The sequence below is a fragment of the Homo sapiens genome, chromosome 5, assembly GCF_000001405.40.
Source record: "Homo sapiens chromosome 5, GRCh38.p14 Primary Assembly".
In the NCBI taxonomy this organism is placed as follows: Eukaryota; Metazoa; Chordata; class Mammalia; order Primates; family Hominidae; genus Homo; species Homo sapiens.
The window spans coordinates 56,172,258-56,200,055 of NC_000005.10; the positions used below are offsets into that span (position 1 = coordinate 56,172,258).

Below are 27,798 nucleotides of genomic sequence, written 5' to 3' on the forward strand. Positions count from 1 at the left end.
GAATATGATTTTGTAGAATTGACCATTAATATCTAAGTCTTAAGTAGAAGCAAGTATTTTTCTGGCATTTCCAGTCTTGAGTCATAGTTTACTGATGCATTAAATCTGTTTCTAGTTGTTAATGTCTAAATCATCAAGTTCTCAGATTAAAAGAAATGAGACTCAGAGACCCAAAAGAAAGGCATGCTGGGCAAATTTCAGAGTTGCCAAAGATTTACAGTTTTCGAAAAGCAGATCTTTTGGTGGGGGAAAGTTTGAAACACTTTTAAAAATCATATTGCAACATTTCCTGGAACTCTGTGTGTGTCAATGGTTTTCTGATTTTTTTTTTCCTGAAGATAAAAAGAAGAAAACCATTGAATATACTATCTGAAACCCTTGGTCAGTCACTATTAAGAACCAACAAATGAGTTTGATACCTACTATGTGCTGGCTGATTCCCCAAGTGTTAATTGTCAGCTGTGATGGGCATTTTTTTTTTATTACGTGTTACAAATGAAGGAGAAAGCACAAAGAGATACAGTGATTTGCCTAACCAACGTCACACACCTGTGAAATCTGATCATTTGAATTGGGTCCTTCTTGTTGTATCCAACTACTAAACCAGAGTTGAGAAGTCAGGGAAAAAAAGCAGGCAGGGCACATAACATTGCTCCCAAAATGCAATTAGCTGTGAGCCTGGCTGCTGAAACTGCCTGTAGTAACTAGTTTTATCTAATGGCTTCTGAAAAACCTGCTGCAACTCAAAGACAAATTTTACCCACCATGGTCACTCACCAGTCAGAGCTTGCCAGCTCCCCAAAACTCGACTAGTGCCAATGAACTTTCTGGAAAAACAATATGTAACATTTCTCCTTCTAATAAAACCTACAACTTCCTCTTCATTCTTTGGACATATCGAGGACCACCTGGTCTGTGTGTATGCCCTGAATTGCAATTGTTTTTTTTCTTGTTTTTTGAGACAGGGTCTCACTCTGTCGCCCAGGCTGGAGTACAGTGGCACGATCTCGGCTCACTGCAGCCTCCACCTCCTGGGTTCAAGTGATTCTCCTGCCTCAGCTTCCCAAGTAGCTGGGACTACATGCATGCGCCACCACGCCTGGCTACATTTTGTATTTTTGGTAGAGACGGGGTTTCACCATGTTGCCCAGGCTGGTCAGGAACTCCTGACCTCAGGTGATCCACCTGCCTCGGCCTCCCAAAGTGCTGGGATTACAGGCGTGAGCCACCATGCCCGGCTCCAATTCTTATATATCAAATAATACGTTAAATGTAGAGATTCGCCTCTCTCTCTCTCTCTCTCTCTCTCTCTCTCTCTCTCTCTCTATATATATATATATATATATATATCTTGGCTCACCACAACTTCCGCCTCCTCCTGGGTTCAGGTGATTCTCCTGCCTCAGCCTCCCGAGTACCTGGAATTACAGGCATGCGCCACCACGCCCGACTAATTTTGTATTTTTAGTAGAGACAGGGTTTCTCCATGTTGGTCAGGCTGGTCTCAAACTCCCAACCTCAGGTGATCCTCTAGCCTCTTGGCCTCCCAAAGTAGCGGGATTACAGGCGTGAGCCACCGTGCCTGGCCTCAACTCTACATATTTTATTTGAGTTTGACACATCTGTGGTAAGGTTTTTTTGTATACTGAGTTCAGAGTTGTGGCTGAGACTTAACTTCTAAGTGTCCCGTTTGCGACATTTTTCTTTAATTCTTGAATTTGAACATTGCCAGGAGGGAGGGATAAGCTTCACAGTGCAGTCCCCAGGACAACTGCTTCCCGTGAGCCCCAGCAGAACAATGGAGGGTCCTGCCTTGGGGAGCCACAGGGAGATGGGGGCAGAGTTAAAAAGGTGGCACCACATGGTGTCCTGCTGGCAGACTCTTCTCATGCAGCCCTTAGAATATATTCCTAGAAAGAGTTGTCTGCAAAGGTGTCAACTTTCCAGGCTCCAAGGGTGTCCATCATTATTCACCGTGATTTAGAGGAGTACTTCTTCCCAGTCCCTTGCATAGCTCTCTAGTCAAAGAAATGTAAAATTTTGAATTTTTGAACTTTGAAAGGGGGACAGTTTGCTTTCACTACATTCTATTTGCTAGTGGCAGTCAACTTTAGAAACCCCTTCTATGCCCTTCCTCTACCCCCTTATCCCAGTTTTCTCTTTTCTTCAGCTCAGACACTGGAAAAGTCCATAGCAAGAGCAGTTCTTAAGGCATGTGCTAGAAGGGAGGGGGCTAGGAGGACAGCCATATGTCTGTCTGAGATATGGGACTTCGGCTAATATGCACAGACCAGTGGCTTTTAAACTTGATGGGCAAGTTTTTAAAAATCGCCTGGGAGGCTGAGGCGGGCAGATCATGAGGTCAAGAGATCGAGACCATCCTGGCCAACATGGTGAAACCCTGTCTCTACTAAAAATACAAAAATTAGCTGGGTGTGGTGGTGCATGCCTGTAGTCCCAGCTACCTGGGAGGCTATGGCAGGAGAATCGCTTGAACCTGGGAGGCAGAGTCTGCAGTGAGCTGAGATCGCACCACTGCACTCCAGCCTGGTGACAGAGTGAGACTCTGTCTCAAAAAAAAAAAAAAAAAAAAAAATTGCCAAGGAGGTTTGTTCAACATGCAGACTCCCCCAACACCAACTACCCCAGTCCTGCTCCCAGAGTATCTGACTCAGAAGGTCTAGGGTATACCCCTGGTACCTGCATTTGACACTAATGTGAATAAGTTCTGATAACCCTCTACCATCAGACCAGCCTGGCATTTGCATTTGAAACAAGCACCCCAAGGGATATTGACACAAAAGATCTGTGGACCACAGTTTGAAAATTTCTTCCCAGATTTGCATGTGAGTTCTAGAGAGAGAGCACAAATAGAAAATGAAAAAGTAGGCTCTAAAGGAAATCTCTGTGAGACTTGGGCAATGCTTCATTGCAATCTATGATAGGTCATGGCAGAAAGGGGTGGTGTTTGGGAAAGGGAAGTGATTTAATTCAGCAGGACACCCTCAATGGGGCTGGTCCAGAGTGAATTCACCACCATCAGTGGGCAGCAATAGCAAATGCAAGCCATAGCAAATGCAAGAAGCTGCACTGGTAGCAATGGTGGTCATAGTGAAGATTTCTGGGTACCTCTCTGGAGAGGAAGAAAAAGGATGACCTCCATGTGGTGGTTAGGACTTGTTTGACATGGACTCAAGGCACCCCTAGGACCTCCCAAAAGGATTGCAGGAAGAGTTTGAGAGGAGAGGGTCTTGAGGATTTTCAGTAAGGCTTAACCAGGCTTGCTCTAATGTTGGGAAATGCTGAACTGAAATCTCTACCGGTGAGGACTAGTATTATGACACAGTTGTTAAATTGAGCCCTGATTGTGGGCTGAGTCATCTGCTTGGCGTTGTCCCTTTAAGAGCCTGCTTTGTCTCCCCTGTTCTTTATCTTCCAGTCCCTCCCACCACCTTCCCCAGTTCTCGTTGTTCTCCACATTCCTTAGCCTCAAGCTTCTACTCAACCAATCCTACCCCACAGATGTTAATTGGATCTTCACAGTATTCCCACCCTGTTGGGGTTATTTAGGGAGATTGTTTTTAGAAGCACCAAGTGTGTCCAGAAATATCCCAAGAGAAATTCTGATGCCATTAAGATAGAAAAGAATGTTTCCCTAATGGCCATATCACCTCTATCTTAGAGGATTGTTAGGAAGATCCAAAATGGCCCAAATTCATGAAACCAACTCTAAGTGGGGATATAAACGTTGAAGATGATTGGAGTAAAGCTTCAAGTTCCAGCTCCTTTAGCCAGCTGCATAGATCCAAGAATGCTCCTTTGCAACTGGGACCCCATAATGACACCCTTCGCCTACCCTGCTCCTTCCACCCTGTGACAGGCACAAGTCAGTACCAGGTAGGTGGCCAGGCATAAACTTGTGCGGCCATAAGCATCCTGCATGTTAATATTGGCTCCCATCTTCAACAGCAGCTTCACTGTGTCCGCTTGACGTCCAGAAACCGCATGCATCAAGGGCGTGCATCCTGGAATGAGACATTTCAACAGCCTTTAAACATGTGTGACCCATGAAACTGATGAGCAGGCTTTATTGGCCTGTTCATTTATTTTGCTATTTGCAATACAAACCCAGCTGTTTGTATGGGACTGAAGGGAGATGAAGCTGATTGTTGCTACATCTCTATAAACTATGTATTTTTTTTACTGGCTCTTTTCAATCTTCTGCAATTTTGCAATAATTGGCTGAGTAAAACATTTTGGGTAGATGATAAAAATTGCTTATGACTGTGTCAGGGATCAGCATAATTTAAGACATAACAGGCAGATTTATCCTGACTTGGCTTGAACCATGTAGAATCTAGGAGTGCCTTTGGAAAGCCGCTCTATCTAGGCAGATGGGTTCAGCACACTTTTATAGGGGGTGGCAGGTGTTAAGGGGCAGCAACAGTACCCAGCCTTGGATTGCACAAACTCTTGCTGAAAAAGTGGCCACCTGTACTGAAATGCTTCTCTGTTTTCAGAATCAATATAGGTCAAGGCATTTAGTTTTTTATGTGTTTTCTTTCTGAATAAAAATAGAGATGAAATTACACATTTTGATGAACTTTGCAGGGCTGTTGGAACAAGCCAGCCTCATGAAGCAGGATCCAGGTGCTTCTTATTCCTTCAGGTGAAGAACTCAAACCTCAGATTCACTCCTTGCCCAGTCGAGACTTGTGTAGATGTCTTTGGACTGGAGATTGTGATTCTTCTCCAGATGAACTGCAAGCTATGACCCTGAGAAATCCCCAAGAAAGGGTAAATCCCAAGATTTCTGTTTTCACTGAAAGAACACCGAGTTCAGAGTTGTGGCTGAGTCTTAACTTCTAAGTGTCCCTTTTGCCAAAGTTTTCTTTAATATTTGAATTTGAACATTGCCTGGAGGGAGTGATGAGCTTTGCAGTGCAGTCCCTAGGACACCAGAAATTGAGTTGCAGTCGGCAACTCAATTTCTCTCCAATTTTTTTCCTTCTGAAACTCTTTCAGTCATCTGTACTGGGAAAAAGCAGCAATGAAGTGCTATGTCTTAAAATAGTTGCAAAATTTCCTTCCTTTCCCTTCCTCCCTTCCTTTCTTCCTGTCAACAAGTGGTAATTATAACTATTGAGAGAAAAAAAGGACATGCTGCAAAAGGCAATTATTGAAGCAATCTGTGAATCTGAAATGCTCAGTAAGTAAAGCTAAAGAATCCCTAGATAGGCCGGGTGTGGTGGCTCCTGCCTGTAATCCCAGCACTTTGGGAGGCAGAGGTGGGCAGATCTCTTGAGGCCAGGAGTTCGAGAACAGCCTGGCCAACATGGTGAAACCCTGTCTAAAAATTCAAAAAAAATTAGCCGGGCATGGTGGCACGCACCTATGATCCCAGCTACTCAGGAGGCTGAGGCAGGAGAATTGCTTGAACCCGGGAGGTGGAGGTTGCAGTGAGCCGAGATTGTGCCACTGCACTCCAGCCTGGGTGACAGAGTGAGACTCCATCTCAAAAAAAAAACACACACACAAAGAAACAAAAACAGAATCCCTAGATATTGTTTTCATAAAATTACATGCTATGTCTGGCTAATTTACATCTATCTTGAGAGCCTAGCTTACATATAAATTTCTTCAGGGAACACCTTCCTGACCCTCCATTGTGAACTGGATGTCCATGTTATAATTTTTCATCATCCTTCATTTTTCTCTAGTAATTCTTTTAATATTTTACAATTATGTATTGATTGAGCATAATCACGTGTTTAAAATTTGTCTCTTCTAAGCTATAATTCGAAGTGGAAGGAACCACATCTCTCCTGCTCATCACTGAATCCTCGGTACCAACCACTGTACCTGGTACCGGGAAGATATTAAACAGCAATTCTGAAATGCATAACCAAATGATTACTGAACAAATCTTTTCTTTCTTTTTTTTTTTTTTGAGACGGCATCTTGCTCTGTTGCCCAGGCTGGAGTGCAGTGGTGTGATCATGGCTCCCTGCAGCCTTGACCTTCTAGGCTCAAGCAATCCTTCCACGTCAATGTCTCAACGTACGGGGATTACCGGCGTGAGCCACTGCATCTGGCCCAAATATTTCTTAAGTTTAAAATAATTTTCCTGAGGTGTCTCTAACTGAGGTTTAGGGAGGAATGACAGATTTATCTCCAAATGGGGTTCCAAAATTTATTTTAAGTTGGTACATTTGTCCTTGTAGAAAATAGAAAAAAAAAAACCCTCAAAATAAAACAAGTAAGACAGTACAGCATTGTTCCTGTATGTAAAATTCATATATAAAAGAAAAGGTCTTCCTTAAACAAAAGCAATAGGAAAAGTAACAAAAAACAAAAGCAACAACAACAAAAATACGGTACTTAGGAATAAATCTAACCAAAGAAGAGCAAGACTTATGTGGATAAGAAGTATAAAACTTACTGGGTGACATAAAAGAAGAACTAAACATGGGAAGATACTATGTTTATGAAGGAAAAGACTCAATATAATAGAGCTATCAATTTCCTGAAAATGAATCTATACATTCATTGCAAGTCTAATAAAAACTCAACAAAGCTGTTGTGAAACTTGAAAACCACTTCATACATATCGGATTAGCAATTATAAAACATCTGAAATGCCAGGTGTTGTCAAGGATTTGGGAAACTCTTACATACTGTTGGTTAAAGTATAAGTTGGGACAACCATTTTTGGGGATAAATGTGGCAACATTTAATAAAATCATAGGTGCTTATACCTTATAACCCTGTAATTCCACTTCCAAGTTTATTTCATAACGAAAATTTCACATTGATGAACAAAGAGATATAATCAAAGATGATAATGAAGAACTAAACTAACAAGAAATGGCATAAATGAACATTAATAGAGAAATACATAAATTATATTTATGCAAAGAAGTGTCATAGAGCAATTAAAATGTCTGAGTTAAATTAATCCAGATCCACTTGAATAAATCTTAAAGACATAATTTTGAGTGAAGAAAGCCAATTGCAAAGATACACACTATTATTTATGTAAATTTTATAAATCAAAATAACAACAGATTGCTATAAACCCAGGAAAAATAGTTCAAGCACAAAAACAGAAAAAGGAAAGATATACACCAGCTTCAGAATAGCGGTTAGTTATTTTAGAGGAATGAAGGGAAAAGGGGTGGAATCAGAAAAGAATAAAAAGGGCCTTCAACTGCTCTGTAACTTTTTTCCTTTAAAAAAATCCAAGGAAAAGATTGCAAATTGTCAAAATTGTTAAATTCTGCAAAATAAAGGGTGGAGCAACTTGGTTAGGTAAGGTGTGCAGGAAGGTAGCCTCAGCATCTTGCGTCCTTAAATGATCCACTTTGCCACATGGTAAAGTGTTCAAGAACTTTAAGACATCTGCACTACAAGATAAGGAGCAGAAACAGCACTAACCAAGGACACAGAATATTTGGGTTCCAGTTCCAACTATTTTATTAGCTATGAAACTTTGGCTAAGAAACTTAGCCACTTCGAGACTCATTGTCTTGTCCTGGGTGGTGCAAAGTAATTACAGTAAGGTTATGAAATTCCAAAAGCAACAATAATAGCTTGTATTTATTGAGTGTTTATTATGTATCAGGCATAACTTTGAATACTCTAGATGGATTAACCTAGCTAGTTTTGATTTTTATACTGTCTTAGTCTGTTTTCTGTTGCTGTAAATGAATACACGAGACTGGGTAATTTATAAAGAGAAGAATTTTATTTCTTTCAGTTCTGGAGGCTGGGATGTCCGAGGTTGAGGGGCCATATTGGGTGAGGGCCTTTTTGGTGGTGGGAACTCTCTGCAGAGTCCTGAGGTGGTACAGGGTATCACATGGCAAGGGAGCTCATGAGAGATGACCAAACTAGCTTTTATAACAGACCCACTCCCATGATTACTAACCCACTCCCACAATGACCCATGAGTGGATTAATCCCAATAATCTCCCAAAGGTTCCACCTCTCAACAATACTGCATTGTGGACCAGGTTCCCAACACATGAAATTTGAGGGAACACATTCGAACTATAGCATGTAGCTTGAATGTAGTTGAAATTGGGTATACTGATTCCTTCCACTTTATTCTTTTTCAAAATTGTTTTAACTATCCTAGTTCCTTTGTATTTCTATACACATTTTAGCTAATCTTGTCTATATACACAAAAAATCTTGCTGGGGTTTGGTAGAAATTGTGGTCTCCATCTCATGCCAAGATGTCTCTTCAGAATTTGCGCTAAATCTGTACACAGATTTGAAGAGCACTGCATGTTTACTATGTTGAGCCTTCTAGTCCACAAACATGGTATGCCTTTCCATTTATTAAGATCTTTGATTTATTTAATTAGCACTTTATAGTTTTCAACATACAAGTTCTGTACATATTTTATTGTATTTGCACCTAAATGTTTCTTTTTATTGAGTGATTTTAAATGGTATTATGGTTTAAAATTTTGATGTCTGCATGTTCATTGTTTGTATACAAAAATAAAATCTATGTCTTGTACCCTGTGACCTTGCTGAACTCACTTAGTTGTAGGAGTATGTTGGTAGGTTCCTTAGGAGTTCCTATGAAGACAATCAAATTGTGCAAAAAGTAATAGTTTTCTTTTTTCCTTTTCAAGATGTATGCTTTTGGCCGGGCCAGTGGCTCACACCTGTAATCCCAGCACTTTGGGAGGCCAAGGTGGGAGGATCACCTGAGAGGTCAGAAGTTTGAGAAGAGCCTGGGCAACATGGTGAAACCTGTCTCTACTAAAAATACACAAATTAGCTGGGAGCAGTGGTGAGCACCTGTAATCCCAGTTACTCAGGAGTCTGAGGCAGAATTGCTTGAACCCGGGAGGTGGAGGTTGCAGTGAGCCAAGATTGCACCACTGCACCCCAGTCTGGGTAAAAAATGAAAGATGTATGCTTTTTATTTCCTTTTCTTGCCCTTTTGCACTCATATTAAACTATGCTGAATTGGAGTGGTGAGAGTGGACATTCACACCTTGTTCCAGGTCTTAGGGGCAAAGCACTCAAACTTTCACCGTTAAGTAAAACCTTAGCTCTAGAGTTGTTGTTGTTGTTGTTGATACTCTTCCTTATGTTGAAGAAGCTCTCGTCTATTCCTATTTTTCTGAGATTTTTATTATTAATATGTGTTAAATTTTGTCTAAAGCTTTTTTTGTATTAATTGATATGAACATGTGATTTTTCTGCCTTAGTTGGTTAATTCGGTGGATTACATTGACTTTCAAATATTGAACCAGTCTTACAGCCCTAACATCCCTAAAACAAACCCTACTTGGTCATGGTGTATGATATTCTTTTTGTTTTTGTTTTGAGATAGAGTCTCGCTCTGTCACCCAGGCTGAAGTGCAGTAGTGCGATCTCGGCTCACTGCAACCTCCGCCTCCCGGTTCAAGCAATTCTCGTGCCTCAGCCTCCCCAGTAGCTAGGATTACAGGCTTATGCCACCGTACCCAGCTAATTTTTGTATTTTTAGTAGAGACGGGGTTTCACCGTGTTGGCCAGGCCGGTCTTGACCTCAAGTCCTGATCTCAAGTGATCTGCTTGCCTCGGCCTCCCGAAGTGTTGGGATTATAGGCGTGAGCCACCGTGTCCGGCCTATTTCTGTATATTACTGAATTCTATTTGCTAATATTTGGTTAAGGATTTTTAAATCTACATTCATGAAGACCACTGGTCTATAGGCTTATTTTTTTTTTACATCGTCTTTGGTTTTGATAGTGAAGTAATACTAGCTCATAAACATAACTGAAACGTGTTTTCTCATCTCTTCTTTTTGGAAGAGATTATGTGGAATCGATGCTGGTTATTCTTTAAAAGTTTGTAGAAATCTGCCAGGTGAGGTGGCTCATATCTATAATCTTAGCACTTTGGGAGGCCAAGGTGGGAGGATCACAAATCTCTGGTGAAATAATCTAGTCCTGGAGATATCTTTTTCGGGGGGGATTTTAAAATTATGAAGTCAATTTCCTAATTATAGGGCTCTTCAGATTACCTATTTCTTATTGGCTATTTCTTACTGTTCTGTTTTCAAGTTCATTACTTCTTTCCTTTGCATCCTCATTCTGCTGCTGAGCTTATTCACTGAGTTTTACCATTGTGATGATTGTATTTTTGATTTTTAAAAATTCTCATTTGGTTTTTCCTTATGTCTTTTATTTCTTTGCTGAGACTTTCTATTTTTTTCTTTAGTTTTAAGCATGTTTTCAATTGCTCATTGAAGCATTTTTGTCACGGTTATTTTAAAATCTTTGTGAGATAATTCTAACATCTCTTTCATTGGCATCTGTTGATTATTTTTTCATTCAGTTTGGGATCTTCCTGTTTCTTGGTATGACGAGTGATTTTTGATTGAAACTTGGACTTTTGGGGTATTATATTATGAGATTCCTGATCTTAAACCTTTTATTTTAGCTGGCTTCCATGGGCACTGCTGTAAAGGGGAAGTAAAGGGGTGCCACCTCATTATTGCAAGGTGGCATTAGAAATCCAGGTTTCCTACTCAGTCTTTGCTGGAACGAGTGGGGCTGGAGCCCCATGGCTTTTTGTGGTGTTTGGCTGGAGTAGGGACTTATTGTCTAAAAAGTGTTCTGTCTTTCTAGGCTGTTTCTTTCCTGGTCCTTTTGCCAGAGAGAGAAGGCTTTTGTTGTTTTTCTTGCTGTTTGGTCTGTGCCTGTTGACATTTCTGGGTTGCCAGCTTCTTCAGCATCAGCTCTGGGAGAGACAAGGCAAGAAGAAAACCCTGGGCACTTACACCATGTCATTCCTTGAGTCAGAAGATCTCAGCTCATCTGTCATTTTATCTTCATCTTCCAGAGTCTTTTTATGTTTACATATAACGTCCAGGGTTTTTAGTTGCATTTAGCAGAAATAATACCAAAGAAATGCATCTACTCCATCTTCCCAGAAGCAGAAATCCTTGCTCTTTGCCTTTTACAGTTACATTTTCTCAACATCCATTGCTACCAAAAGTAGCCTGCTCTTTCCGTACCTTTTCCTAACTACTTGACCTATCTATTTTGGTCATTCATACAAAGATATTGAAAACAAACTCAAACTGATGACTTCATTATAAGAGGCGATGTGGTACCTGCACATAGGCACAGTATCAAAATGGCTGGTCAGATATACATTTATTAACATTGCTCATGTCTGAAGGCCATCTCTAAAAAAATAGAGCAGAACATTCTGGATTCAAAATGCATACATATCTCACCTTCACTGTCACAGCATTCTAGGATAGAAGGGTCTTCCCGAATCACTGCAGTCAGAGCATTGACATCTCCATTAGAGGCTGCTTGATAAACCATGGTCAGGTCAACTTCCTCAGATGAGTCACCTTCATGCATAAAACAGACACAATGTTAGTGTGTGGAGCCAGTTCACTGAAAGAATAACAATACCCAAGTCGTCACCCACACAAGTGATTCATTAAAACTTCTCAAGTGAATCCAGGCAGAAGTCTGGGTCATCCTGGCTACACACTCCCTCACCACTTCTGAAGAAAGGTGGATCACTCATGCCATTTGTAACACCGCCGTGTATTGGAAAGGAACCTGAGGGATTGGATGTCATTTGAGATTTTCTGATTATTTCCAGGCATTCAGGCTTCTCGAAGCCAGGGAGCCCAGAGAGGAAAGTGGGAAGTGGGGCCCTCATCTTGGTTCTGCATTGCCCTTTTTGATCTGGAACATGTTCCTTGTCCTCCCAATAACTCAGTTTACTACCTTTCAAAGAGACATTGTGCTCTCCATTCTCCGTTCTCCAGATGTGGAGGGTGAGGCAGCCTTTCCCACCCTATTCTGTACCCTGAGGACTGACCCTTGCCGAGTGCTCCACCCAGGCTCCCTCACCCTTTTGCTTGCCCATGAGAGGCACGGGCAGGAGCCTGATGGGGAGAAGAGAGAGATGGGACATTTCTTCCTGCCTTCCCCTAGTGCCGTGTTCGGCAGGAGCCACTTCTCTCCCAACAGGAGGCTCTTTCTTGGCAGAGCCAGTCTCTTCCTCTGCAGAGTCAGTCTCTCTGGGTTCCCTGATAAAATGGTCCCCTCCCATCCTTCTTAGCTGTAAGGATGGGATTGGCTTCCCACTGATGTTAGTCTGTGGAGCTTCAGCATCCCTAGTTCATTCTTTCAGCCCTGCGTCATCTCTGCAAGCTGTCCCTTCATGAAAGTCTCTTCATTTCAACCACCTGAGATTTCATGAGAGGGCATTCCCAGAAGAAACAGAACTGTAGGCAACTCCTTTGAATTTGGTAGCCACCTGCATTATGCCTTGTGCATGCCTGAACCAACTAATAGCATGGTCAAAGGCAACATCAGGCCAGGCATGATGGCTCAGATCTGTAATCTCAGCACTTTGGGAGGCTGAGGTGGGAGGATGGCTTGAGCCCAGGAGTTCGAGATCAGCCTGGGCAACACAGTGAGACCCTCTCTCTACAAAAAATTTAAAAATTAGCTGGGCATTGTGGTGGGTACCTGTAGTCCCAGGTACTCAGGAGGCCGAGGCAGGAGGATTGCTTGAGCCCCAGAGTTCAAGCAGTGAGCTATGATTGTGCCACTATACTCCAGCCTGGACAACAGAGTGAGACCTTGTCTTAAAAAAAAAAAAAGAAAGGCGACAACAGAACTATGGGTCAAGTGGGGCTGGGTGCAGTGGCTCATGCCTGTAATCCCAGCACTGTGCGAGGCCGAGGCGGGCGGATCACTTGAGGTCAGGAGTTCAAGACCAGCCTGGCCAATGTGGAGAAACCCAGTCTCTACTAAAAATACAAAAAAATAAGCCAGGTGTGGTGGCATGTGCCTGTAATCCCAGCTACTTGGGAGGCTGAGGCAGGATAATTGCTTGAACCCGGGAGGCAGAGGGTGCAGTGAGCCGAGATTGCACCACTGCACTCTAGCCTGGGCGACAGAGCGAGACTCTGTCTCAAAACAAAACAACAACAACAAAAGAACTGTGGGTCAAGTGGAGAACGGGGAGGACTGGGAGGTGAGTTCTGCTCAAGAGGAGGCCTCCAGGGAGAGGCTGTGTTGATCAACTCACACCGTTCCTCCCATGCACGCCTCCTCTGCCCCTCAAGCATAGCCACTGTTCAGGTGTGGTGGCTCACGCCTGTAATCGCAGCACTTTGGGAGGCTGAGGTGGGTGGATCACCTGAGGTCAGGAGTTTGAGACCAGCCTAACCAACATGGAGAAACTCCGTCTCTACTAAAAATACAAAAAATTAGCTGGGCCTGGTGGTGCATGCCTGTAATTCCAGCTACTCGGGAGGCTGGGGCAGGAGAATTGCTTGAACCCGGGAGGTGGAGGTTGCGGTGAGCCCAGATGGCGCCATTGCACTCCAGCCTGGGCAACAAGAGTGAAACTCCATCTCAAAAAAAAAAAAAGTAAAAAAAGAGAAAAAGGTTTTTTTAAGTTGTGTTTTTCTGCTAATGTGGATATTATGTCAAAGATACTTTTTAGTTTTCAGTTCGAATTGATCTTTCGTTGGCAGTGGTCCTAACCCTTTGCCTCGGTTTCTCTGTCCCAGTATTTTTGGGAAGTCATAAGTGCCGGTTGACCTGTCTGTCCCCAAAGGAACTTGTTATTGGAAATGATTCACTTATGACAACAAACTGTTTTGTAAAGTGAGTAGTTGTTCCCTAACTTACTCACAGTAGTATTTTGTTGTTTTCGTTTGTTTGTTTTAGTCAGACTCACTTGCACATTTGCCTGGGGGCCAGAAGTGAAAGAGGAGGGGTGTCCAGGTCAAATGCCACTCCTGTGATGAGCGCAAGGACTATGGAGGCAGACAACCTCAGTATCAGCTTGCACTGACCAGCTGTGTGGATTTGGACCGTCCCCTCTCCAGGCCTTAGTTTCCTTGTTTTTGTTTGTTTGTTTGTTTATTTGAGACAGGGTCTCGTTGGGTCACCCATGCTGGAGTGCAGTGGCGTGATCTTGGCTCACTGCAGCCTTGACCTCCCAGGCCCAAGTGATCCACCCATCTCAGCCTCCTGAGTAGCTGGGACTACAGACATGCACCACCACGCCCAGCTAATTTTTGTATTTTTTGTAGAGATGGGGTTTTGCCATGTTGCCCAGGCTGGTCTCTAATGATCCTCCCATGTTGGCTTCCCAAAGTGCTGTGATTTATAGGCGTAAGCCACTGTTCCTGGCCAGTTTCTTTGTCTTTAAAATGAAGGTAATAATGATGATAATTAGGATAACTACCTACCTCTCTTATAAGTTTGTTGTGAGGAAAAAAATGAATTAATATTTAATTCTGTGTGCTTTTAGAACAAGGCCTGGCATATAATAGTGTATATATTTGCTGTGACTACTGCTACTTAAAAAATTTTTTTTTGGTGCGTTTAGAAAGCATTAGAAATCTGGGACATGTAGAGAAAATAGTCTCTTGTTGATGATGATTAGACAAAAAGTCCATACATTGCACAGAACATTAGTCCCCATTAGGAACCTTCCTAGGACTCTAGACATTTTGTTAAGATTTCTCACAGTATATTTGGGCACAAGAAATAGGGCCCAGAAACAGGACAAAGATGGAGCTGGTATCTGGTTGTGTGACCACATCCAAAGATGCTGGTGGTATCACTTCAGGAGGAAGATCCTGGTGGTGGGCTGAGGAGCTCTGTGTTTAACAGCCTGTTCATATGTTATATAATGTGCCTATATAACAGACATAAATGTATTCACAATCCGTTCATCACTGAGTGCAATAAAATATGCAAGGCACATTCATCACACTGTGGACCACATACAGCTGAGAGAAACAATGAATGCATTGCCTGATAGAATTATGATCCCCAAAATATCTTGCCAGAAATCTAATTAGATAGTATTTAATAGAGCTAAAGGTAGAGTAACATATTGAAAGACAGGACCAGCTGGATGTCCTAGGCTGACTAAGAATCCCTAAGCCTAGCTGGGAAGGTGACTGCATCCACCTTTAAACACAGGGCTTGCAACTTAGCTCACACCCGACCAATCAGGTAGTAAAGAGAGCTCACTAAAACGCTCATTAGGCAAAAACAGGAGGTAAAGAAATAGCCAATCATCTATTGTCTGAGAGCACAGCGGGAGGGACAATGACCGGGATTTAAACCCAGGCATTCGAGCTGGCAACGGCTACCCTCTCTGGGTCACCTCCCTTTGTATGGGAGCTCTGTTTTCACTCTATTAAATCTTGCAACTGCACACTCTTCTGGTCCGTGTTTGTTACGGCTTGAGCTGAGCTTTCGCTCACTGTCCACCACTGCTGTTTGCTGCTGTCGCAGACCCGCCGCTGACTTCTATCCCTCTGGATCCAGCAGGGTGACCGCTGTGCTCCTGATCCAGCGAGGCACCCATTGCTGCTCCCAATCGGGCTAAAGGCTTGCCATTGTTCCTGCACGGCTAACTGCCTGGGTTCATCCTAATCGAGCTGAACGCTAGTCACTGGGTTCTAGGTTCTCTTCCGTGACCCACGGCTTCTAATAGAGCTATAACACTCACTGCATGGCCCAAGATTCCATTTCTTGGAATACGTGAGGCCAAGAACCCCAGGTCAGATAACACGAGGCTGGCTACCATCTTGGAAGCCCCCCGCCACCATCTTCGGAGCTCTAAGAACAAGGACCCCCGGTAACAATATCTTGGTCCACAAAATATCCAGTTGAACTGATTGAAGGGTGGTTAAGTATGTAGTTTTTGCACTCAACTTCCCCTCTCCCTGTTGATAAGGTAAACCTGATTATTCTCTAGGGACTACTTCCTCTCCTCTTCTAGCCCACAGGCTGATTCAGTGGAATTGGCTATATCCCTGGTCAGGGGCAGAACATGTGGCTTAGAACTAAGCCACTCAGCACTAGCATTATCCTGGCCATGGAGATGGATTCAGGGATGTGACCCAATTAGAGCCCACGAAAAGCAATGATACGTTTGATATGTTGACTGGGGTTGTCGAGAACAATACTGTTGCTTTATTCTACCACCCATGAACCTGGAAGCCACCTGGTGACATCTTTCTCTTACCAGAGAAAGGTGGAGATATTTTCTCTGCCCTGCCCCCGCAACCCCGCCACCCCCCTACAACCAAAAAAAAAGAAAAAGAAAAAAGAAATCTTAGCCTAGGTCAATCTCCCGAAGCATTTCCCCAATGTTTTCTGGTAGTTTCATGTCTTACATTTAAATCTTTAATCCATTTTGATTTGACTTTTGTATATGGTGAGAGATAGGGGTCTAGTTTTATTCTTCTGCATATAGATATCCAGTCTTCCAGCACCTTTTATTGACGAGACTGTCCTTTCCCAAATGTATGTCTTGGTGCCTTTGTTAAAAATGAGTTGACTGTAAATGTGTGAACTTGTTTCTGGAATCTCAATTCTGTTCCATTGGTCTACGTGGCTGTTTTTATGCCAGTATCATGCTATTTTGGTTACTATAGCCTTGTAGTATAATTTGAAGTCAAGTAATGTGATGCCTCCAGCTTAAGTCAATTTACATAGATTTTGTGTATTCGTTTGGATTTTCTTTTTAATCACTGAAAAAGTTCTGACTGATAAAACGTTTTAAAAAAGAACTTGGAGTTTTAGCTGGAAAATTAGCTCTATAGAAATAAACAGCGTTGTAATAAATTAGTAGGAAGTCTGGCTGAATTACCAAATCTAGTAGCCATATTGAGGGCAGTGATAGGCCTTTTCCATTCTTAACTGGTCAGTGTCATATTGAGGTCTATGGTCTCAATTAAACAGGGGTATAGTGGCTGGAGAACATTCAGAGGTGAGTGACTGGAGGTATGAATGGACTTTAATCATGTCACGTGAAGAATGGTTGAAGGAGATAAATGTGTCTACTCTGAAGATTATTCCAGGGGTCATGATAGTAGCCTTCAGATAGTTAAAGAGTTTTTTTAATTAAAAAAATTGTGCAGGAGGCTGAGGCAGGAGAATGGTGTGAATCCGGGAGGCGGAGCTTGCAGTGAGCCAACATCGCGCCACTGCACTCCAGCCTGGGCAACAGAGCGAGACTCTGTCTCAAAAAAAAAAAAAAAAAATGTGGTAAAAGATACATAAAATTTAAAATTTTAACCATTTAAGTGTACTTACAGTTCAATTGCATTATGTCCATTCACACTGTTGTGTAACCATCACTAAAACTCATCTTTTCATCTTCCAAATCTCTGTACTCATTAAACTGTAACTTCCCATTCTTTCCCATCCCCAGTCCCTGGAAACCACCATTCTGCTTTCTGTCTATGAATTTGACTACTAAAGGCACCTCATGTATGTGGAATCAATAACCGTTGTCCTTTCGTGACTGGCTTATTTCACTTAGCATAATGTCCTCAAGGTTCATCCATGTTGTAGAATGTGTCAGAATTATCTCCCTTTTTAAGATTTAATAATATTTAATTGTATGTATGCATCACATTTTGTTTATTCATTACCTGTCAGTGGACACTTGCGTTGTTCCCATCTTTTGGCTATTGTGAATAATGCTGCTGTGAACATGGGTCTACAAATCTTTTTGCATTCCTGCTTTTAATTCTTTTGGGTATATACTCAGAAGTGGAATTGCTAGATCATGTGATAATTCCATTTTTAATTTTTGAAGGAACCACCATACTGTCTTCCAAACGGCTGCACCATTTTGTATTTCCACCAAAGTGCACAAGAGTTTCAATTTCCCCATATCCTTGCTAACACTTATTATTTGTTGTTTGGGTTTTAAAAAAAATAATAGCCATCCTAATGATGGTGAAGTGGTATTTCATTGTGGTTTTGATTTGCATTTCTCTAATATTAGTGACAGTGAGCATTTTTCCAAGTGCTTATTGGCTATAGGCATATCTTTCAAGAAATGTCTATTCAAATCCTTTGCCCATTTTTAATTGAGTTGTTTGGCTTTTTGTTGCTGGGTTGTAGGAGTTCTTTATATATTCTGAATATTAAACCTTTATCAGGTATATGATTTGCAAATATTTTCTCTCATTCTGTGGGTTGCCTTTTCATTCTGTTGATAGTGTCCTTTGATGACAAAGCTTTTAATTTTGATGTAGTCTAATTTGTTGATTTTTTCTTCTGTTGTCTGTGCATTTGATGTCATAGCCAAGAAATCATTGCCAAATCCAGTGTCATGAAGCTTTTCCCTAGGCTTTTTTCTATGAGTTTTACAGTTTTAGGTCTTATGTTTGGGTCTTTGATCCATTTTGAGTTAACTTTTATATATGGTGTAAAGTAAGGGTCCAAATACATTTTTTTCCACATGGCTATCCTGTTTTTCCAACATCATTCATTGAAAATACTATTGTCTTAGTCTGTTTCCTGCTGCTATAACACAATACTATAGACTGGGTAATTTATAAATAAACTTATTTGGCTCATGGTTCTTGAGGCCAGGAAGTCCAAGGGCATGATGCCAACATGTGGTGAGGATGATCTCATGGCAGAAGGGTGAAAGGCAGAAGCGAGCATCTGAGACAGAAGAGGAAATCAGGCCAAACTCATTGTTTCTATCAGGCACCCATGCCAGAAGATATCTAACTCACTCCTAATATAACAGTATTAATCAATTCATCAGAGCAGAGCCCTCGTGCTCCAATCACCTCTAAAAAGCCTACCTCTTAATACTGGTACAATGACAGTTAAATTTCAACACAACTTTCAGTGGGAACATTCAAGTCATAGCAACTATTCTTTCCCTATTGAATGGTCTTGGCACTCTTGTGGAAAATCAGTTGACCATAAATGTATGGGATTATTTCTGGACTTTCAGTTCTATTCTACTGATCTATATGTCTGTCTGTATGCCAGTACCACACTGTTTTCATTACTGTAGCTTTGTAGTAAGTTTTGAAATCAGGAAGTGTGAAACCTCCAACTGTTCTTTTTGAAGATTGTTTTGGCTATTTTGGGGTCTCCTGAAATTCAATATGTATATTAGGATGATTTTTCTATTTCTGTAGAAAACATCATTGGGATTTTGACAGAGATTATATTGAATCTGTAGATTGCTTTGTGTAGTACTGGCATCTTAATAATATTAAGTTTTCTAATTCATGGAACATAAAATGTCTTTCCATTTACTGGTGTTTTCTTTAATTTCTTTCAGCAATGCTTTGTAGTTTTCAGTGTACCAGTCTTTTACCTCCTTGGTTATTCCTAAGTATTTTATTCTTTCTCATACTATTGTAAATAGAGTTGTTTTTCGAAGGGCTTTTATGCAAACAATTTTATGGTTAAATTGCTGTGTGAGACTCCAGTAGTTAGAAATAGCAGTGGGTGAGAGTGACAGAGAGACAGGTATTCTAATTATTATTAGAGCTTATAAAAATGGACCGAGTCACCTCAAGAAGTAGTGAGCTTCCTGTCACTGAAGATGACCTCTCTTGGCTAGATGACCACCAAACCTGTTTAGAAGGAATTTAGACATAAAGTGAAGCACAGTGTAGGGGGAAAAGGAAGACGTGTGAAGCAGAATAGCATGTACTTCAGAATTCCTTCTGGCCCTGCGATGTACACTAAACCACAGCACAACAAGGAAATAGGAAATGAAGGAGCTTCCCTAGAAGTTATTTAGAAAGAGCCAATCTAAGTTGCGGTCAATGCAAATAATTGGGCACAAACTTAGAAACTGTACAGAGAATTTCTATAGAAATGAGGAAGCATGATGTAGAAATAACAAGTACAAAGAAAAGTATGACTGATGGTCCTAATGGAATCTAAAATGAGAGCAGGAAAGTTTTTTTCTACTGACAATCAGAAACCCACTTATTAAGATGTCTAAAAGATCTACATAAACAAACAATACCTCAGTCCTTCCTTGTCTCCTTCCTATTGCTCCTCTCTCTCTCTCTCTCTTTCTCATCTATTTGTCATCTATGTTTCTTTCCACACTGCTTACATGAGGAGCATGTTTTGAATGGTCTTGCCTCTCTCACTGCTTTAAACAGATAGACTTCTGTACGGGTGCATAAAGAGAGATTCCAGAATACACACAGGGTGAGAGACTCTGAGGGTAGAAAATGGAAGAAACATGAAGAAATAGGAAGAAAGAAGCATGTGAAGACACGCAGATTATATTTTATTTAAAACTCTGCCGCTGCTGCCGGAGACTGATCTGGGCGGCAGTTGGCGGCCTCGGCTAGCGGCCAGGAGCCACTTCTGCGGGTGCCCAGAGAAGCAAAAGTCGCCGGTCCCATGTCGTCGCCCTCTCTGCCCCCCAGGAGGGGCAAGAGGGAGCCACGGCCGATGACAGAAATACACTTTCCGAGATGGCCTCTAAATCCTGGCTGAATTTTTTAACCTTCCTCTATGGATCGGCAATAGGGTTTATTTTATTTTCTCAGCTACTTAGTATTTTGTTGGGAGAAGAGGGTGACACCCAGACTAATGTTCTTCATAATGATCCTCATGCGAGGCATTCAGATGATAATGGACAGAATCATCTAGGAGGACAAATGAACTTCAATGCAGATTCTAGCCAACGTAAAGATGAGAACACAGACATCGCTGAAAACCTCTATTAGCAAGTTAAAATTCTTTGCTGGGTTATGACAGGCTCTCAAAACCTACAGAAAAAGGCCAAACATGTCAAAGCTACATGGGCCCAGCGTTGTCTAAAAGTATTTTTTATGAGTTCAGAAGAAAATAAAGACTTCCGTGCTGTGGGATTGAAAACCAAAGCAGGCAGAGATGAGCTATACTGGAAAACAATTAAACCTTTTCAGTATGTTCATGAACATCATTTAGAAGATGCTGATTGGTTTTTGAAAGCAGATGATGACACATATTTCATACTAGATAATTTGAGATGGCTTCTTTCAAAATATGATTCTAAAGAACACATTTATTTTAGGAGAAGATTTAAGCCCTTTGTAAAACAGGGCTGTATGAGTGGAGGAGCAGGATATTTACTAAGCAAAGAAAGCCTTGAAAAGATTTCTTGATGCATTTAAAACAGACAAGTGTCACATAGTTCCTCCACTGAAGACTTAGCACTGGGGAGATGCATGGAAATTATAAATGTAGAAGCAGGAGATTCCAGAGATCCCACTGGAAAAGAAACTTTTCATCCCTTTGTTTCAGAACACCATTTAATAAAGGTTATCTACCTAGAACCTTTTGGTACTGGAATTACAACTATTATCCTCCTGTAGAGGGTCCTGGTTGCTGTTCCGATCTTGCAGTTTCTTTTCACTATGTTGATTTTACAACTGTGTATGTGTTAGAATACCTCGTTTATCATCTTCATCCATATGGTTATTTATACAGATATCAAGCTACCTTACCTGAAAATATACTAAAGGAAATTAGTCAAGCAAACAAAAATGAAGGCACAAAAGTGAAGTCAGGAAACCCTTGAAAGAAAATCATGAATGAACAAAGGTAAAATGTCTAGCATTGCCCTGAAGAAGGACTTCTGCATTTCTGACATAGAGCACTGGAATCCCAGTGAGGAATTCTAAGTGAACATTCCATATAGAAATCTTTCACTTGAATGACTATAAACTGAAGCTTTAAATGAGCTGTGAAGTCTGTTAAAATGTGTTTTGATACAGTCATATAAAAATATATCTATATATATAAGAAGAACTTGTGTTTTTAAAATGGTGGCCAAGTAGAGGAACTAGAAAAGAGATTTTGTTGTCTATTTTTGACCATCTGTATTATTGTCACTGAGAAACTAAAACAATTGAATTTGCTAAAACTACACTGCACCATATTAGTAATAAACAGATCTGCCTTAAAGAAAATTTTAGGGCTGGGTGCAGTGGCTCACTCCTGTAATCCCAGCACTTTGGGAGGCCAAAGCAGGTGGATCACGAGGTCAGGAGATTGAGACCACCCTGGCCAACATGGTGAAACCTCATCTCCACTAAAAATACAAAAATTAGCTGGGCGTGGTGGCGCGCACCTGTAGTCCCAGCTACTTGGCAGGCTGAGGCAGGAGAACTGCTTGAACTGGGGAGGCGGAGCTTGCAGTGAGCCGAGATCGCACCATTGCACTCCAGCCTGGGTGACAGAGTGAGACTCCATCTCAAAAAAAAAAAAAAAAAGAAAATTTTATAAAGAAATATTGTTGCTCAGTGTTGTTAATACAGCTCAAGAGTTGAGTTTATATTTGCAGGATGATATAAATGATCCAACCCCCCCAACACATATAGTTTTTGTCTAATGGAAATTTTGCTGTGATTATTTATAATTGGCAGTATTTCTTCCAGAAGAAGCTAAAATAAGACTGGCACTTATCCTGAAGTTCCTTAATAAAACCGCACTTTAAAATTATCATGGGCCTTGACTATATTATATATTTGATTCTAATTAGTAATCCTTTACTGAATCTCTGTTGTCTCTTTTCTAAATATGTTTAGCCACCCTTGAATACCATTCTCCACTATTAATATTAATTTACTCAAAGTATTCACAGCATTCTGTAAACATGTATTTGATAATATTTGTTCCCAAATTTACCCATTGTTAATTATGGGTGACTAATAATAAATTTAATGCTATTTGAGGATGCTTTTCTTGTATCAGTGCCACTCTCAGGAATTACTAAGTGACATTTTAAATTGATTATTTTAAACTCTTTCTAACTACATAGTTATGATTTCTTTCATTCTCATCCTGTTGAGAGATGAGAACGTGTTTGTGCCTTTCATAACTTGTTTAAAGCAGAGTTTTAGAATTCATTTTTAGGATCTAAGGTGGCTATTAGTTACACTGGCAAGATTATTTTGAATGCAAGATTTTGACAAGAATTAATTAAAAACAATAGAAAATGCAGAGTGCTTAAATGTGATATATTGAAAGAGTAGATACTTAACTTATAAATAGCAATCTGAAGGTTGATGCTGACTTACTATTTTGGGATAATTGTCTTGCCAATGGATAATTCTAACAACGCAGAATACCTATTCAAGGCTGTCATCAAAAACATTCACAAATGTTTCATTCTATTTTTAGTGACTCTGTTTAAAGACTTTCTGAAAGGAAAGAACATTTTTATTTTTATTATCTTTAGCAATACTGAGTGTGTCATAACAGAATATTTTACAGACTTTCTATGAGATTATCTTTAGTGGCACAAAAGATTTACATTTCCCTTATGTTTATCATTATGCCAATTTTACATGGCTGTCATGCCACTTACTCTGCTGTTTAGCTAAACAATTTCTTTTTTTGGAGACAGAGTCTCACTCTGTCCCCCAGGCTGGAGTGCAGTGTCGCGATCTCGGCTCACTGCAACTTCTGCCTCCCAGGTTCAAGCGATTCTCCTGCCTCAGCCTCCCGAGTAGCTGGGATTACAGGCGTGTGCCACCATGCCCAGCCAATTTTTGTATTTTTAGTAGAGATGGGGTTTTGCCATGTTGGCCAGGCTGGTCTTGAACTCCTGACCTCAGGTGATCTACCCATCTCCGCCTCCCAAAGTGCTGGGATTACAGGTATGAGCCACAGCGCCTGGCTAGCTAAATAATTTCTATTTATTGTGCCAAAACATGTCAAAATCATGACTCTTTGAATGGTTTATTTGAGAGGATGTTCATTTCATTGGCTAACCATGGATTACTCTGCCCACATAGTGAAAACATGCACCAATTTTTACCTATTATCATGGTAGTATCATCTGCCAAAATTTCAAGGCATTCATTTTATTCTTTGAACAACTCTTTACCATAGTGTGGACATGAATTTTCATATGTGTTACTTGACTAGAAGTATAAATGGTTTACTATAAATATCCAAAAACCTTAAGATTTGCTCATAGGAAATGAATGTTGTCATGAATCCTGGGCTCTAGAGTCAGACTTGCTTGGGTTTAAATTCTTGCTCCAACACTTACTGTTTTTGTAACCTTGAGCAATTTTATTTAATATTTCCGTGTCTCAATTTTCTCATCTGTAAATTAGGGATGATAATACTACCTACCTCACAGGATTTTTGTGAGGATTAAATAAATGTAAGGTTCTTAGAACACTGTCTGTCCCAGAATAAGGGAGCAATAAATAGAAGATTGTATTATTATTCTATTACCTTGGAGTGTAGCTATTGCATTTAAGTGAATAAAAAATTTGCTTTGACCAGATACTGAAGGAAATATTTCATACATTTCTTAATAAGTAATAGCTAGTATTTATCGAGTGCCTACTGTGTGCTAACTATTGTGCTTAGATAATCTGTGTATAATAGTGTTAATGCTCAAAATTTGGGTGTTATTCCCATGTTATAGATAAGGAAACTGAGGCCTGGAGAATTAAAGTAACTTTGCCACTTTCACAAGGCTAGTAAGTAACAGAGGCAGGATTTATATTCAAACCGTGTGTGTTCATTTGAACTGTATCAGGCTTGGAGTTAGTCATTTAGCATTATTTCCATTTTTATTTATATGATATATGACATCTGATACATTGGCCAGTAATACCCAAATTAACCCAGCCAAGTTATCATAGTGATTCTTAAACTGTGGTTAGCATACTTGCCTAGGATGTTGTTAAAATGCTGATCTGCAGACCCCAGTCTCAGAAATTCTAACTTAAGCATGGGGCCCAAGAGTATATGCATTCTTACCAAATACCCTAGGACAGTGATTGTCAAAAGTGTGGTCCCAACAAACAGCATCAACATCACCTGGGAACCTGTTGGAAATGCAACCTCTCTCAGGGCCCCATCTCAGATCTACTAAATCAGATACTCTAGGAGCAGGGGCAGGGGCCAGCAGTTGTGTTTAAGCAAACTCTGCAGGTGTCTTTGTTATCCTAGTTTGAGAACCACTGCCAATACCTACATGATTTTGGTGCAAATAGTGTTTGAAGCACACTGAAGATTACTGCCCCATTATTAAGACATTTTTCAAAAAGCATGTTTTAAATCAGTGTAGTCCAGGATCACATAATATTAAATATAAAATAAAGATAATTTAAAGGGTCATTGGATCCTTCATTTTGGCCAAATTTGTAGCTTCTCCAAAGTGACTAATATCAGGGTCCACGATAAAATCTGTAATTCTCCAAGTTTAGTAATTTTATATTGAGGCAGGAAGGGTTCATTAAGTACTAATAAGTACAAAATTTATTAAAAGCATACATAAAATCAGTGTCATCAAAAAGGTCTACAATTGTTAGTAAAAACAATTTAAATTGAAGTAGTAAATGCTATTTTATAACATACAGAGCACTTTTCTGCCAATTCATTCTGTTTTGTGTGACCTAATAAAGCAAAAACAAAAACAATTCTCCAAGTATTTCATAGAGCACATAAAACCAGATTTCATGATGATGATGTATTCACTATCTTTTAGATTAAGATCTTCGTTATTTAGATAAATTATTTTAGTATGGTTTTAAAACATAAGGCTTTTGATGTCTTATGTTCTCTAATGATGGTATGCTTATATTTTCTAGTGGAAAGTTCATAGATAAAGCCAATTTTTGTCGCAGTTTGTTTTCAAATATCATAAATTTCAGAGGAGTTTTTCTTACTGTAATGAGATACGAAAATAAACCACTGATCGGCTTTTAATATTATTTGAATATGGAATTGGATTTGAGCATTAAATTTGCTAACTGGTTATTTTCACAATTGTTTTCTTGAGTATTAATTTTTCACTTCTTTGAGACTGTCAAACCATAGTTATTAGCAGGCTGATGCACTTTTGTACTTGAAAGAATCCCTTGATTGATTAAATTATATCTAGCATTTTATTCTCCATTTGTTTTCAGTTCATTAGACTATTATTCTTTGACAGTTTCTGCTTTGTATTTATTGCCCTTCTTTATTTGTTTTATTACTAATTCCCATTTTCTAGTTACTCTTAAATGCTGCCTTCAAAGGGTTAATTTGGCTGTTAATAGTGACTAAAATTTTTATTACTTAATTGAAAATTTTAAACCTACGAACTGGGTTTCCCTATGAGATTGAAAGTAAAAGTCTAAGAATAATGCCTGCTGGCTCTCAAGATAGTTGCCCTACTTAAAAATCTAGAATTTTAAATTAATTCTGCATCTACAATTATTATTATTACTGTTTTTTTTTCTTTTTTTGAGACGGAGTTTCGCTCTTGTTACCCAGGCGTGATCTTGGCTCACCGCAACCTCTGCCTCCTGGGTTCAAGCAATTCTCCTTCCTCAGCCTCCCGAGTAGCTGGGGTTACAGGCATGCACCACCACGCCCAGCTCATTTTGTAGTTTTAGTAGAGACGGGGTTTCACCATGTTGGTCAGGCTGGTCTTGAACTCCCAACCTCAGGTGATCCGCCTGCCTCAGCCTCCCAAAGTGCTGGGATTATAGGCGTGAGCCACCGCGCCTAGCCACATCTACAATTATTAAAGGAAGTAAAGTTATTTGGATTCTTCCACTCACCCTTTTCTCAAAAACAAAAAAAACCAAAACCCATTTGCTTTGTTTTTCTTCTTTATAGTAGGCCTGACAGAAACATACTGAAGCAATCTGGGAGACAACCTGTGATAGATCCTATGCTAAATGTTAATGTTACCTCTGTTGATTTAAAAACACGTGTTTAGGGGCTGGGCAGCGGTGGCTCACACCTGTAATCCCAGCACTTTGGGAGGCCGAGGCAGGCGGATCACGAGGTCAGGAGATCAAGACCAACCTGGCTAACATGGTGAAACCCCGTCTCTACTAAAAATACAAAAAATTTAGCCGGGCGTGGTGGCGGGCGCCTGTAGTCCCAGCTACTCAGGAGGCTGAGGCAGGAGAATGGTGTGAAGCCGGGTGGCAGAGCTTGCAGTGAGCCGAGATCGCGCCACTGCACTCCAGCCTGGACGACAGAGTGAGACTCTGTCTCAAAACAAACAAACAAACAAACAAACCCAAAAAAACCCAAACACGTGTTTATATCTAAGAGTTGAAATAAAAACTTTAACAAAGGGTGGAATAAGGAATTTTACAAATTCTCTTTAGAGAAACCAGCTCTAAAGTTTTAGGGTTGAATTGTGCTCTATTTCAATTCCCTTACCTCTCTAGTTTTCAGTTTATATTAGTTAAATTTTAATAACTTTGCAGGGCCCGGCAAATTAATAACCTACATGAAGTATTTTATCAGAGGGAAACTAATCTTACTGCTGAGCAGTGTGTTGTACTACATAGTGAATGTTTGTGTTTTGGAATCTAACAATTATTTAAGGTAATGGTGTTATGAATGGTTTAAAAATGTCTGGTGACTTGCTTATTTTAAGTGATCACCATTAAGTCAGAAAAATGTATTTTTAAATGTTTCTTAAAGTGGCTTTTGAACATTTTTAAACAGTTGATTTAAATAATGCATAAGATAAATTACCATGTTCAAAGTTAAAAAAAAAAAAAAACTTGGGTGTGGCTTGGTTTGGTGGCTCACGCCTGTAATCCCAGCACTTTGGGAGGCCGAGGTGGGCGGATCACAAGGTCAGGAGATCGAGACCATCCTGGCTAACACGGTGAAACCCTGTCTCTACTAAAAGTACAAAAAAATTAGCTGGGCGTGGTGGCGGGCGCCTGTAGTCCCAGCTACTTGGGAGGCTGAGGCAGGAGAATGGCATGAACCCGGGTGGTGGAGCTTGCAGTGAGCCGAGATCGCACCACTACACTCCAGCCTGGGTGACAGAGTGAGACTCTGTCTCAAAAAAAAAAAAAAGAGGCCGAGGTGAGAGGATCACTTGAGACCAGTAGTTGGAGACCAGCCTGAGCAACACAGCATCTCTACAATTGTGTTTTAATTGTAATATGTATATATATGAAATGTGTAAAAGTCCGTAAAAGCCTGGAAGAACGTGCATCAAAAAGTC

At 40.5% G+C, this 27,798-nt stretch overlaps 1 protein-coding gene and 1 pseudogene across 1 annotated transcript in view, besides 1 other annotated feature; one reads left to right on the plus strand and one right to left on the minus strand.

Moving 5' to 3' along the window:
- The window catches only part of ANKRD55 (ankyrin repeat domain 55), a 133,651-nt gene that overhangs the window by 72,578 nt on the left and 33,275 nt on the right, over positions 1 to 27,798 (minus strand). Inside the window, exons 3-4 of the mRNA NM_024669.3 lie at positions 11,255 to 11,377; positions 3,895 to 4,025 (exon numbers count right to left, since the gene is read on the minus strand). Coding sequence (NP_078945.2) covers positions 3,895 to 4,025; positions 11,255 to 11,377 — 254 coding nt within the window. The remainder of the gene's footprint in view (positions 1 to 3,894; positions 4,026 to 11,254; positions 11,378 to 27,798) is intronic.
- Positions 7,205 to 7,499: a silencer, noted in NCBI's record as "tiled region #5241; HepG2 Repressive non-DNase unmatched - State 24:Quies, and K562 Repressive DNase matched - State 9:DNaseU". NCBI's record gives its function as "represses a minimal TATA promoter and a strong SV40 promoter by Sharpr-MPRA in HepG2 and K562 cells {active_cell/tissue: HepG2 | K562}" and the evidence as "EXISTENCE:reporter gene assay evidence [ECO:0000049][PMID:27701403]".
- Positions 20,111 to 21,578, plus strand: C1GALT1P2 (C1GALT1 pseudogene 2; annotated as a pseudogene).